The sequence below is a fragment of the Homo sapiens genome, chromosome 15 (assembly GCF_000001405.40).
Source record: "Homo sapiens chromosome 15, GRCh38.p14 Primary Assembly".
NCBI classification, from domain to species: Eukaryota; Metazoa; Chordata; class Mammalia; order Primates; family Hominidae; genus Homo; species Homo sapiens.
Genome location: NC_000015.10, coordinates 42,454,582 through 42,467,610, shown reverse-complemented (window position 1 = coordinate 42,467,610; position 13,029 = coordinate 42,454,582). Strand labels below are relative to the sequence as shown.

Sequence of the window (13,029 nt, the reverse complement as noted above, 5' to 3'; positions counted from 1 at the left end):
TCACCATGTTAGCTAGGCTGGTCTCAAACTCGACCACATGATCCACCTGCCTCAGCCTCCCAAAGTGCTGGGATTACAGGCATGAGCCACTGTGCCCGGCCAAGACTGAATATTTTCACGCTTAACCTTCAATGCCTAGCTCTATTCTTGGCATATAATAAGAATTTGATAAATATTTGGTGAATGAATGAGGTAACTTCTCTGCATTCTTCAGCATGAAGTTAATCATACTCCCTCGGCAGTATTTTGCAGTTCAAGTGAGAAAATGTTTGAGGGACTTCACACGGAATGCAGTAAATAGCAATAACACAACAAGTGTAGTAGCCCTTTATTATTATATATGTGAACAGCCATTCTTTAATTATGGCATACTGGCTGTGTATACTGTAGAGTGACAAAGGGATAGACATTTATAGCTTTTTGAGTTTTGTGTATGTGTATGTGTACATGTGTGCATGTTTTTTCTTTTTTCTTTTTTTGAGACGGAGTCTCGTTCTGTCGCCAGGCTGGAGTACAGTCGCACAATCTCGGCTCACTGTAGCCTCTGCCTCCCGGGTTCAAGCGATTCTCCTGCCTCAGCCTCCTGACTAGCTGGGACTATAGGCACGCACTGCCACGCCCAGCTAATTTTTGTATTTTTAGTAGAGACGGGGTTTCATCATGTTGGCCAGGATGGTCTCGATCTCCTGACTTCGTGATCTGCCCACCTCGGCCTCCCAAAGTGCTGGGATTACAGGTGTGACCCACCACGCCCAGCCGTGTGCATGTTTTTAAGTGGCAGCTTTCCCACATATTTTCTTCCCTCTAAGGATGGGAAGAAGGGAACCTACTATAAATGTTCAAACTTTTCATTGGAACCAAACAAATCCACTGGGGAAGTGAGGGAGTGGACAGTGAAGATAAAGGATTGATTAAGCTGCTATGTTCAAAGTATTTTTTTAAAACTTTCTTATCTAGCATAGAGAGGCTCTGTTATGTTTGTAACTCCTATCTAGAATTGATGTATCCATCTATATTCATTCAACAAATGCTTATTGATGACTATATGCTAGGCCCTGTCCAAGACATGGGTAAAGTAAGAGTTGTAGCTTACTCTTGAGAAACTGTGGATAAAAGAAGCCAAATAGTTGAAAAGTTGAGTGATTTGAAAGGTTTTTTTTTTAAATGAACTTTAGTAAATTCTTTATAATGGGATAGAATTTAACTTACTTAGTTTACTCTTAAGTGTTTTGCTTCCTAAAGATAATACTTTCTAATCTTTTTGGAAAGCCACTTAAATATGTCTTTTTAAGAATTCTTTTTATTTAAACATGAAATATATTAAAAAACACAGTTAATTATTAAGGAACTGATTTCAGTATTAAATTGAGAATAACCAAAAACACATTTTGACATAAGGAGTTTGAGCCCCAATTTTTGATTGAGGAGGAACAGAGGAGTTTTTTTTTTTCAAAGCAATCCTGCTTAGTTTTAATCTACTTTCTTTTATTTTGAAGGAGATGGACGAACACATGCGGAGCATGTTGCATCACAGGGAACTTGAGAACCTCAAGGGCAGGTATGGGAACGGCTCTCTTCCATAAGTTTGTGAATGTGGGTGGATCTGAGTGATGATGGTGCCTGTCAGTTTGTTTTGCAGTAATCCGTCAAAAGCAAATGTTGTCTTATGGCGTAGAACAACCTTTTAGAATTAATACCAAGTGTAGTAGATTTTTGGCATTCAAAAGGGATAAACTCTGATACCTTTGGGCATCTCAAATGTGTGAATTCACAGCAGCCCTATCAAGTAGATTGCAACAAAGGTGAGTTGGGATGAGCTAACTCTCTCATTAGTAAGCTTTCTCATTCCTACGTGCTAGCCTTGCAACTAGGACATTTTGTATTTTTACTTCAGCAGTGTTACAAATTATTGCATGCCATAAACGTTTAGTATTGCTGGAATTGTCTGAGACATCCAAAGTCTGCTAAATAGCACTGAATCTCATTGGTATAAACAGAATTGAAATATAAACCTTAAATGTATTTAAGAATGCTGGCCAGGTGCAGTGGCTCACGCTTGTAATCCCAACACTTTGGGAGCCCAGGGTGGAAGGATTACTTGAGCCCAGGAGTTTGAGACCAGCCTGGGCAACGTAGAAAGACCTTGTCTCTACAAATAAAGAAATTAGGTGGGTGTGGCAGCTAATAGCCTGTGGTCCCAGCTATTTAGGAGGCTAAGGTTGGGAGGATCACTTGAGCTTAGGTAGGTCAGGGCTACAGTGAGCTGTGATTGTGCCACTGCCCTCCAGCCTGGGTGACACAGTGAGACCCTGTCTCAAAAAAAAAGAAGGATGCTATTCTGTGATTTGAAGCTTGAGATGTTTAAGGAAAGGAAATCTAATAAGTGGACACCTTTAAAAAATGAAATGTAGGCCAGGTGCAGTGGCTGATGCCTGTAATCCGAGCATTTTGGAAAACTGAGCCAGGCAGATTGCTTGAGCCCAGGAGTTCAAGACCAACCTGGACAATATGGGGAAACCCCATTGTATTAGTCTATTCTCACGCTGCTAATAAAGACATACCCAAGACTGGGTAATTTATAAAGAAGAGAGGTTTAATTGACTCAGAGTTCCACGTAGCTAGGGAGGCCTCACAATCATGGCAGAAGGTGAATGAGGAGCAGAGTTACATCTTACATGGCAGCAGGCAAGAGAGCTTGTGCAGGGGAATTCCCATTTATAAAACCATCAGATCTCCTGAGACTTATTCACTACCATGAGAACAGTATGGGGGAAACTGCCCCTATGATTCAGTTATCTCCACCTGGCCCTACCCTTGAGATGTGAGGATTATTGCAATTCAAGGTGAGATTTGGGTGGGGACACAGCCAAACCATATCACCTGTCTCTATCCCCTGCCCCACAAAAAACCCCCAAAATTAGCTGGGCATAGTGGTATGTGCCTGTAGTCCCAGCTACTCATCAGCCTGAGGTGGGAGGATGCTTGAGCCTGGGAGGTGGAGGTTGCAGTGAGCCAAGATCACACCACCACACTCCAGCCTGGTGACAGAGCCAGACCCTGTATCAAAAAAAAAAAAAAAAAAAAAAAAGTAGCATGTGTATATTCCATGTCTTTGGTCTATTTGTGATTTATTTTGATGTATTTGACTTCTGTCAATTTGAAGTTTGGAAACAAGATAGATGGAGGAACATTGGGAACCTAGGAAATAGGAATTATATCTTATCCCATGAATAATAGTTACAAGTTTGTGGTTTTTTGTTTTTTTTTTTTTGAGACGGAGTCTCACTCTGTTGCCCAGGTTAGAGTGCAGTGGTGCTATCTCAGCTCACTGCAACCTCCGCCTCCCGGGTTCAAGCGATTCTCCTGCTTCACCCTCCTGAGTAGCTGGGATTACAGGCGTGCGTCACCACATCCGGCTAATTTTAGTAATTTTAGTAGAGACGGGTTTTCACCATGTTGGTCAGACTGATCTTGAACTCCTGACCTTGTGATCTGCCCGCCTCGGCCTCCCAAAGTGCTGGGATTACAGGCGTGAGCCACCATGCCTAGCCAGTAGTTACAAGTTTTGATCAGGATGTCAACCTAGGTCATTTGAAATTTATTTTTTTGTGACCTACAGTTTAAAATTCTGTGGGCAAATTAATGTGTTATTAAACTTTCAGCATCTCTTTAGCCTATTAGTGGAATTTTTCCCTGCCCCCAGTCTCTTATTATGTGAAGGTTAGGTCTTAGCAGCAATATAAAGGAGACTGTCACTCACTCAATTTTAGTATGGGGAGCCCTTATTATTTTTAATATATACTTTTTTGAGACAGGGTCTCACTCACTCTGTCACCAGGCTGGGGTGCCGTGGCACGATCACAGCTGACTGCAACCTCGAACTCCTGGGCTCAAACAATCCTCCCACCTCAGCTTACTGTGTAGCTGGGACTACAGGCGTGTGCCACCACACCCTTTTGGCTTTTATTTTTGGCTTTTATTTTTTGTAAAGACAGGGTTCCTCTCTGTCTTTCATTTGGCCTTTATTTTTTGTAAAGACAGAGTTCCACTCTGTCTTTCATTTGGCCTTTATTATTTGTAAAGACAGGGTTCCACTCTGTTGCTCAGGGTGGTCTTGAATTCCTGGGCTCTAGCTGATCCTCCTACCTCTGCCTTCCAAAGTGGTGGGACTACAGGCATGAGCCACTCTGCATGGCCAGAAGCCCTTATCATAATACCTTGAATATATATGATCTCTATGTCATTAACATTCAGAATCTATGAAATGCAGTCAACTTTTGATTATGTGGAGTATTTTACTTAAAAATCCCATTTTCAACAGACTTCCTTCTAGAGTTCATTTTATTATGGGTGACTTACCTGCCACCCTACCCATATGCACTATATCATTAAACAAAACAAACAAGGTCAGTAAATCTAGTCTGTAGGAGAGAAGCCCATTGCATTCAAAGATTAATGCCTCATTTATTTCAGACGTCACTAATCATCCATTTAAAACATTTTTAAAAGTTTGGGCCGGCCGCGGTGCTCGTGCCTATAATCCCAGCACTTTGAGAGGCTAAGACAGGAGAATCACTTGAGCCCAGGAATTCAAGACCAACCTGGGCAACATAGTGGGACCCCTGTCTCTACAAAAAAAAAAACAAAAAACAAAACAAAAAAAAGCCAGGTGTGGTGGGTTGCACCTGTAGTCCAGCTACTAAGGAGGCTGAGGCAGGAGGATCCCTTGAGCCCAGGAGTTTGAGGCTGCAGTGAGCTATGATTGTGCCACTGCACTCCAGCCTGGGTGGCAGTGAGACCCTGTCAAAACAAAACCAAGTTTGGTCACATAAGACTCGTGTTTATAATCAATACAGAATCATAAAAAGTTGTTTAAAAAGTAAAAGTCTTCTCTCCACCCCCCTTTCCCCTCTAAATCCTATTTCTCTCTTAGAGGAGACTCAATGGTTGGTGCGTATCCTATCCAGACCTCTTTCTATGTATTTACGTACTTATTTATTTATTTATTTATTGAGACGGAGTTTCACACTCGTAGCCCAAGCTGGAGTGCAATGGTGTGATCTCGGCTCACTGCAACCTCTGCCTCCCTGGTTCAAGCGATTCTCCTGCCTGAGCCTCCCAAGTAGCTGGGATTACAGGCACGCGCAACCATGCCGGCTAATTTTTTCTCTTTTTAGTAGAAACTGGGTTTCGCCATGTTGACCAGGCTGGTCTCGAACTCCTGACCTCAGATGATCCACCTGCCTCGGCCTCCCAAAGTGCTGGGATTACAGGCGTGAGCCACCGCGCCTGGCCTATACATTTATATTTATAGATACACATTTTGTTTTGTGATGTTAACTTAATGAACCACATTGTCATTTATGTTTTGTTCTGTAATGTGTTCTTTTCCACCCATGCAACTACACTGTGCTATGGAGATTTTATCTACCATTTTAAATTATGTGGATCACAGTAAAATAATTAGGAAAAAGGCACTAAAAGCCTCCCTGAGCTGCCAATGGGAATGTCAGGTTTCGCACCCAAACTCATTTTCTTTAGAGGATAGCCTTTAGTACTTATTTACTCACATATTGGATATAGTGTTCCTGACCTGTAACAAATCATGTTACATATAAGAGAGAAGACAAACAGGTAGCAAGAAAAACCAGCTTACAAAATTATAGAAAACCCCATAAAATCTCAAAAATTGTTTACGGACTTGGAGCATTTACTGTAAGGACGGTCTTCACCAGCTTGTACCATAGGGACAAATAATTATCAGTCATTATTTCTTTACCCTGTTATCCTGAGTTTGTGATTATTTCCTCTGGATTTCATTTTTAACTACTGGGTTTCTGACACTGAGACTTTCTTTTTCTCTTTATAGTTGTGTCTACAGTTTTTGGTTGTGATCTGGTTAAGAATTGCAAAGTATGTGTTACTTAGGCTTTGCAGCAAGCTTGAATAAGCAATAAGTAACTGGTCTTACTTGGTTCATGGCTGTGGACATGTGAAACATTTCCCTATTTTTTCCTAATATACTTCTTCAGATGTGTGGGCCGTAAGTAACATCTCCAGATAGAGACTATTAAAAAGGCACAAACCTTTATTTATTCAGCAGCTGTTGTCGGGTAGTTAGAGCAAGCTTAATAAAGAAAAGCTTATGGAGAGAGTATCTTAAGACTTTGTGTTTCACACATGAGAGGAAATTGTGTGGTAACAGGATGAAGCTAATTTAGGCCCTCCTTTAAATGCCCTAAGGAAAATTATTGCCTTTGCTAGCCAAGGAGCAAAGCTGTACATTTCCCCCGTGATTATTTTATTTATTCACACAGTATAGTAAGTATTTTAACTGATTGTTAATAAATAATTATCAAGTAACCTCATTAAAATATTAACTTGCTATTAGGCTTTTAAAACATGGTTTCCCAAACACTATGTTGAAGCATGAATGCCTGTTGTGTAGAGAACAGAGGTAATAGAGGTAATATGCTTACTCCACACACACTTGAATTTTCAGAAGATGTGGCTACATAGAGAAAGAACAGGGTAGTATAACCACATCTCCTGAAAACGCAGATGTGTGTGGAGGTAACCATATTACCCCTACACACTTTTTGAAGTTTCTCTTTTTGAAGTTTCTTATAAAGTTTTTTTTTGAAGTTTCTTGCAAAGTTTCTATTTTAAACTGGATTTTATTTATAAGAAAAATGTTAGGGATTTGGTTTTTGAAAAATTATTTTTAGTGTTAATTTTTTTTTTTTTTTTGAGACGGAGTTTTGCTCTTGTTGCCCAGGCTAGAGTGCAATGGTGCAATCTCGGCTCACCGCAACCTCCACCTCCTGGGTTCAAGCGATTCTCCTGCCTCAACCTCCCAAGTAGTTGGGATTACAGGCATGCGCCACCACACCCGGCTAATTTTGTATTTTTAGTAGAAACGGGGTTTCTCCGTGTTGGTCAGGCTGGTCTTGAACTCCTGACCTCAGGTGATCTGCCTGCCTCGGCCTCCCAAAGTGCTGGGATTACAGGCGTGGGCACCTGGCTAGTGTTAACTTTTATACTGCACTTATTGCGTATGCCCTTCTGGGCAGGGTCTCTGATTTGTTCTCTGTCAAATAATTTTGGAACTATGGTTATATTCTTTCTCACTAGGATTGCAAAATGGTTTGAAAATGTTCCACTGTTAAGAATCCAACATATGTTTGTGCTTTGGGGGTTGCAGGGTGTGTGGGTTTACGATTATGGATGTTTATTTTTAACAGTTAAGTTCTGCCTACTTTATACGACATTCCTTAATATTTTGGAAAGTCAGTATTGCTTTCTAGTTGTGTCTTTTAAGAGCGAGGGGTTTTGATAGTTTGAGCATTAGACAGATTCTCTGCATTTTAGAAGTAAGGATAAAATCATGGATTTTATTTTAAAATACTTTTTAGGGATTATACTAAAGTCCCCAATAGAAAGATGTCTCTGGTACTGCAATATTCAGTTTAGCATTCTATGAGCTTTTAGGTAGAAAAGTAGGCTAAGATATTTTCCATAGTTTTAGAGAGTTTTAAGACAAAAATATTTTCTTTTTTTTTTTTTTTGAGGCCAAGTCTCACTCTGTCACCCAGGCTGGAGTGCAGTGGAGTGATCTTGGCTCACTGCAACCTCCACCTCCCAGGTTCAAGCGATTCTCCTGCCTCAGCCTCCTGAGTAGCTGGGATTACAGGCGTGTGCCACCATGCCTGGCTAATTTTTGTATTTTTTTTTAGTAGAGATGGGGTTTCACCGTATTGGCCAGCCTGGTCTCGAACTCCTGACCTCGTGATCCACCCACCTCGGCCTCCCAAAGTGCTGGGATTACAGGCTTGAACCACTGCGCCTGGCCAACAAAAAGATTTTCTAACTGGAAAATTGAGTTGATTGGAATGTTTATAGTGTAAATGAGATATTGTAGATTTGTTATAGTCCTCAGACTGTTCTGATGCTGCCCATTGTGATAGATTTATATAATTAACTTCTTTGTGTGTTGCTTTGAGAAACAGCTTGTTATTAACGTTCAGTTGGAATGAGCTACCATCAATTTAATTGCTTGAGAGAAAAGTATCGGTATCCCTGGTAAACTGGAGAAAGTTGAGGATTATTCTTTTTTCTTTTTTTCTTTTCTTTTTGAGACGGAGTCTCACTCTGTTGCCCAGGCTGGAGTGCAGTGGTGCGATCTCAGCTTACTACAACCTCTGCCTCCTGGGTTCAAGCGATTCTCCTGCCTCAGCCTCTTGAGTAGCTGGGATTACAGGTGCCCGCCACCATGCCCGTCTAATTTTTGTATTTTTAGTAGAGACGGGGTTTTACCAGTTTGGCCCGGGTGGTCTCAAACTCCTGACCTCAGGTGATCCATCCGCCTCGGCCTCCCAAAGTGCTGGAATTACAGGTGTGAGCCACCACGCCTGGCCGAAGATTATTCTTTAAGTGTATAAATGTAGTAAGTGCAGTTGAAAACCCTCAGTAAAAATAATGTATTTAAGTACCTGTGGAATTAGAATATTGATATTCTGGGTAATCAGGTATTGATATTTTTAGGAAACCTGGTCAGAGCACATTAAAATGAATCTTAAAAATGTCAGTATTTGAGGTTACAAAGTCAAAAAAGAGTGAAAACTTGCAAATTTTCTCAGTTTTTCTGAGCTCTTCTCCATGATCCTTACAAAATAAGGAACAGTGTTGTTTTTTTAAACTTACTGGGCATTGTTTGAGTGTTTAAACTTTGTCACCCTAAACAAGAGTGTCTATGCTAAGTATTTACTAGAAGACAGTTTCTGTTACAGGTCACCTGAATATTCATTTAAAAAAAAAAAGAAAACACCTTACCAAAAAACAGCACACCTAGAATTTAGCTGTTTTTTGGTAAGGTGTTGTTTTTTTTTTTCTTTTGTTTTTTTGAGATGGAGTCTGGCTCTATCACCCAGGCTGGAGTGCAGTGGTGTAATCTCGGCTCATTGCAACCTTTGCCTCCTGGGTTCAAGCGATTCTCCTGCCTCAGCCTCCCGAATAGCTGGGAATACAGGTGCACACCACCACACCAGGCTAATTTTTGTATTTTTAGTAGTGATAGGGTTTCACAATTTTGGTCAGGCTGGTCTCAAACTGCTGACCTCATGATCTGCCCGCCTTGGCCTCCCCAAGTGCTGGGATTACAGGCGTGAGCCCCACCAAGCCCGGCCTTTTTTTTTTTTTTTTCCTTGAATGAATATTCAGGTGATCTGTAACAGTAACTGTCCTCTAGTAAATGAAGTGCCCAGTTTTGAGGGTCTCTTCTGGTTGATGTAAATTCTGCCTATGTCTAGTTAGGTATTTGTGAGGGAAAGATGGAACAGAGGTGCACGTGTGTGTATGTGTTCTGTCTGGACAAAGACGGCATGTCCTTTTGGGTTGTTGGTTTTTTTTTTAATAGATTGGCATAGGAAGTGCAAAAATATAACTAGTCTAAATCCAGGACACATGATACAGAGTTAAGCCAATTTGGATTGTTGAATGGATACTGCTGTCTTGTAACTATGGTGTTCAGATGTTTCTCATAAATGACTGCATAGTCAGCTGACCCAGTCAAGGGATTTCCAGAAGCTAAAAAGCAGTTAAATTACTGATCTGCTACAGCTGTGGACACTGATTCAAGACTGGCTTCTGAAGACTGGCTAAGTGAGATTTGCATGAAGTATGTAAAGTAAAAAAACAAAACAAAGCAAAAAAGTCTGCCTAGTTTAACTAAAAACCTGGTTTTGCATCTCTCTCAACTGTAGCATTTTCTGAAACTTGAGAAAACACATTTGCTTGGCACAGCTGTTAACTTCCTACAACTGAAATGCTTTCCATTCCCTTTAAAATAAGCCCTTCTGAAGCAGAATGTAGATCACATGTATCATCCAGACCAAAAAAGTTTGCCTGGACTACTCCTGGGGTCCGGAATCCTCACATTCCAGGCAGAGCTCCAGCTGTTCCGATTTAGTTACCGACTTGGGATTGGCTGCGCCACCTACTCTTGTTTCCACCCCTTAACTTTCACTGGAAGAAAGCTCTAGACTAAAGATTAAATGTAAGCGCTGTCACCAGGCCTTCTGAGTGCAGCTGGCACCATGGGTGTGCTCCAGAGCAACTTCTGCTTGCTCTGAGCCCCCTGCCCTGCCTCCCCTTTCACCATGTTTCCTCTGACAAGATTTTAAGTACAGCAATTCAAGAAGATTTCTCCTCCTAAACGACATTTATCTGAAGTCTATTGCCTCTTGATTGCTGGAAAAGAATCTTAAAATCATTTCAAAAGTAACTTATAAACAAACTTATTAAAAGTGATGAAAGGAGCATTGAAATTAATTAGCACTAATTTTTCACTGTGCCAAAGTGTGCAGTGTCCTTCAGAGGAAACAATAACAGATCTGGTGAGTGTGCCATGCCAGTGGGGAGAATTGAATGTCCCTCATCTCCCTCTTTCCCTAGGGACATTAGTCATGAGTGCCGAGTGTGCGGGGTCACAGAAGTGGGTCTTTCTGCATATGCAAAGCACATTTCTGGCCAGTTGCACAAAGATAACGTTGATGCCCAGGAAAGAGAAGATGATGGAAAAGGAGAGGAAGAGGAAGAAGATTATTTTGACAAGGAACTCATTCAGTTAATAAAACAAAGGAAAGAACAAAGTCGGTAAGTAATTGATTTTTTAAAAAAAGCCTATCTATAACAGAACACAGCAGAGAATATATTTTATATCTTTGTACTGGTCAGCCCATGGCATTTAAACTTAGGTATAAAGTTTAGCTTGAGGTTGTTGTCTTACTAATCAAAGGGCAATGGAATGTTTTCTTGAACTACTGTAATATCTTCTTAAAAAAGCAAACTTAGTATTGTTCCTACATAAGCTGTAGCTACATATCTGAAATTTTTGCCATGTTGGTAACTATGTTGAGAATGGCTTTATTGGTATCCAAATCTTTTTTTTTTTTTTTAAGATGGAGTCTCACTCTGTCACCCACCCAGACTGGAGTGCAGTGGTGTGATCTTGGCTCACTGTAACCTCTGCCTTCTGGGTTCAAGCAATTCTCCTGCCTCAGCCTCCTGAGTAGCTGGGATTACAGATGCCTGCCACCATGCCTGGCTAATTTTTTTTGCATTTTTAGTAGAGACGAGGTTTAACCCCATTAGCCAGGCTGGTCTCAAACTCCTGACCTCAAGCAATCTGCCCACCTCAGCCTCCCAAAGTGCTGGAATTACAGGCGTGAGCCACCGTACCTGTCCAGTATCCAAATCTTTTGAATACCAATAAGTTTTTATTTGGCGTTTAAATTTTCCAGTGGAAAGGTGTTAGAATATAAGCTTCATTGTATAAATCGTATAGTATATAGTATAGTCGTATCGCCAAAATAACAGTGTAGTCTATAGTATATAGTATAGTCTTACTGCCAAATAACATTTCTTAGGAAAATATTTTTTGACTGGTGTGAATTAACGTGTTGCTTCTGCCAAATTTGATTTATCTTTTTGTCTTTGAATCCCCAGTGACTACCACAGTGCTTTCTTGAATAAATTTTTTTTGATAAGTGTCAAGATAATTTAAGCAATATAAATTTTCTAATTTGTACTGCATAATTTCATACCTACATTTATACATTCAGGTATTAGGCATTTATGTTTTTACCTTACTGCTTTCTGGTCTAAAGAGTTTAATTATAAAATTTGTTAAAAAGAGTTTAATTAATGAGGTAGAAATTTTCAATGTGAGGGAAAGAGAGAGAGAAGCACTTATGAGGTGGGATAATTTTTTAAGTCCCAGAACATGAAGAGAATCATTTCAGATTCTAAAATAAAAATTTAAAGATTCTTCTTTGAATACTAGTTATACCCCGTCTGTACCTCCTTTTTAGTCAGAGGCTTAACTATAAAAAGGAAGTTGTTTTTACTCTATATGTTAAAAGTTTTTTTGCCGGGAGGAACGGTGGCTCAGGCCTATTGTCCTGGTGCATGAGGAGACGAGGCCAGGGCTTTAAGACCAGCCTGGGCAACATAGGAAGCCCTTATCTATGTAATAACAACAACAAAAAATTAAAATTAAAAAAAAGTTTTTTGAACAATTCCTTGAAGGAGACTTTCTTCATCTTAAAATATCAGTAAAGGGTGAGCATCCCTAATCCAAAGTCTGAAAATGCACCAAAATCCAAAACATTTGAGTGCCAACATGAGGCCACCAGTGGAAAATTCCACACCTCATTTCATTTTACAAAATTATTCAAAATATTACCTAAAATTATCATCAGACTGTGTATAAAAGGTGTATATGAAACATAAATGAATTTTATGTTTAGACTTGGGTCCCATTCCCGTAATATCCCATTATGTATATGCAAAAATATTCCAAAATCCAAAGCAGTTTGAAATGCAAAACCTTTCTGGTCCCAAGCATTTCAGATACGGGACACTCAAACCACATGGTTCTTAAATCATTTAGTAGCTTAGTCCTTCAAATGACATTTTCATTACTTTTAATATAGTTGCAGTTTACTTTATCCTGCTTTAGGCAGTTGGAGCCTCTGGGAGACTTCTATTTTGTTCTTACATACTAGTGCCATTATTAGCTTTATCTGTGTAAATAATTAAACATTAAGTCAGAATAGATTAGACATTTGTATCATAGTTACTATTTTTTGAGTCTTTTGATGTGCCTCCTTGATGACCTATTTATAAAATCATCTACTTCTTTTTTTTTTTTGAGACAGGGTGTCGGTCTGTCACCCAGGCTTGAGTGCAGTGGCACGATGACACCTCACTGCAGCCTCAACTTCCTAGGCTCCAACAGTCCTCCCACCTCAACCTCCCGAGAAGCTGGAACTACAGGCATGCATCGCCACCATGCGTGGCTAATTTTTTTTTTTTTATTTTTATTTTTGGTAGAGATGGGGTTTAGCCATGTCACCCAGGCTGGCCTCGAACTTCTGGGCTCAAGTGATCCACCCACCTTGGCCTCCCAAAGTGCTGAGATTACAGGCATGAGCCACCACACCTGGACAAAATCATCTACTTCTTCAG

The 13,029-nt window shown here is 40.3% G+C and overlaps 1 protein-coding gene across 13 annotated transcripts in view, besides 2 other annotated features; it reads left to right on the top strand.

Annotated features, from left to right (window-relative positions):
* Positions 1-13,029, top strand: part of ZNF106 (zinc finger protein 106) — a 78,319-nt gene that overhangs the window by 23,531 nt on the left and 41,759 nt on the right. For 8 of the 13 annotated variants that reach the window (NM_001381996.1, NM_001381997.1, NM_001366844.3 and 5 more), the window contains one exon: positions 1,497-1,558. In NM_001381996.1, coding sequence (NP_001368925.1) covers positions 1,500-1,558 — 59 coding nt within the window. In that variant the 5' untranslated portion in view covers positions 1,497-1,499. Of the gene's footprint in view, positions 1-1,496; positions 1,559-10,078; positions 10,654-13,029 lie in introns of those variants that run through there. The other 5 variants (NM_001381994.1, NM_001366846.3, NM_001366845.3 and 2 more) reach the window with 3 other exon arrangements.
* Positions 8,616-9,447: an enhancer, noted in NCBI's record as "H3K27ac hESC enhancer chr15:42750362-42751193 (GRCh37/hg19 assembly coordinates)". NCBI's record gives its function as "activates a minimal SCP1, AML or CMV promoter by ChIP-STARR-seq in naive H9 embryonic stem cells {active_cell/tissue: H9 hESC(naive)}" and the evidence as "EXISTENCE:reporter gene assay evidence [ECO:0000049][PMID:30033119]".
* Positions 9,448-10,280: an enhancer, noted in NCBI's record as "OCT4-NANOG-H3K27ac hESC enhancer chr15:42749529-42750361 (GRCh37/hg19 assembly coordinates)". NCBI's record gives its function as "activates a minimal SCP1, AML or CMV promoter by ChIP-STARR-seq in naive H9 embryonic stem cells {active_cell/tissue: H9 hESC(naive)}" and the evidence as "EXISTENCE:reporter gene assay evidence [ECO:0000049][PMID:30033119]".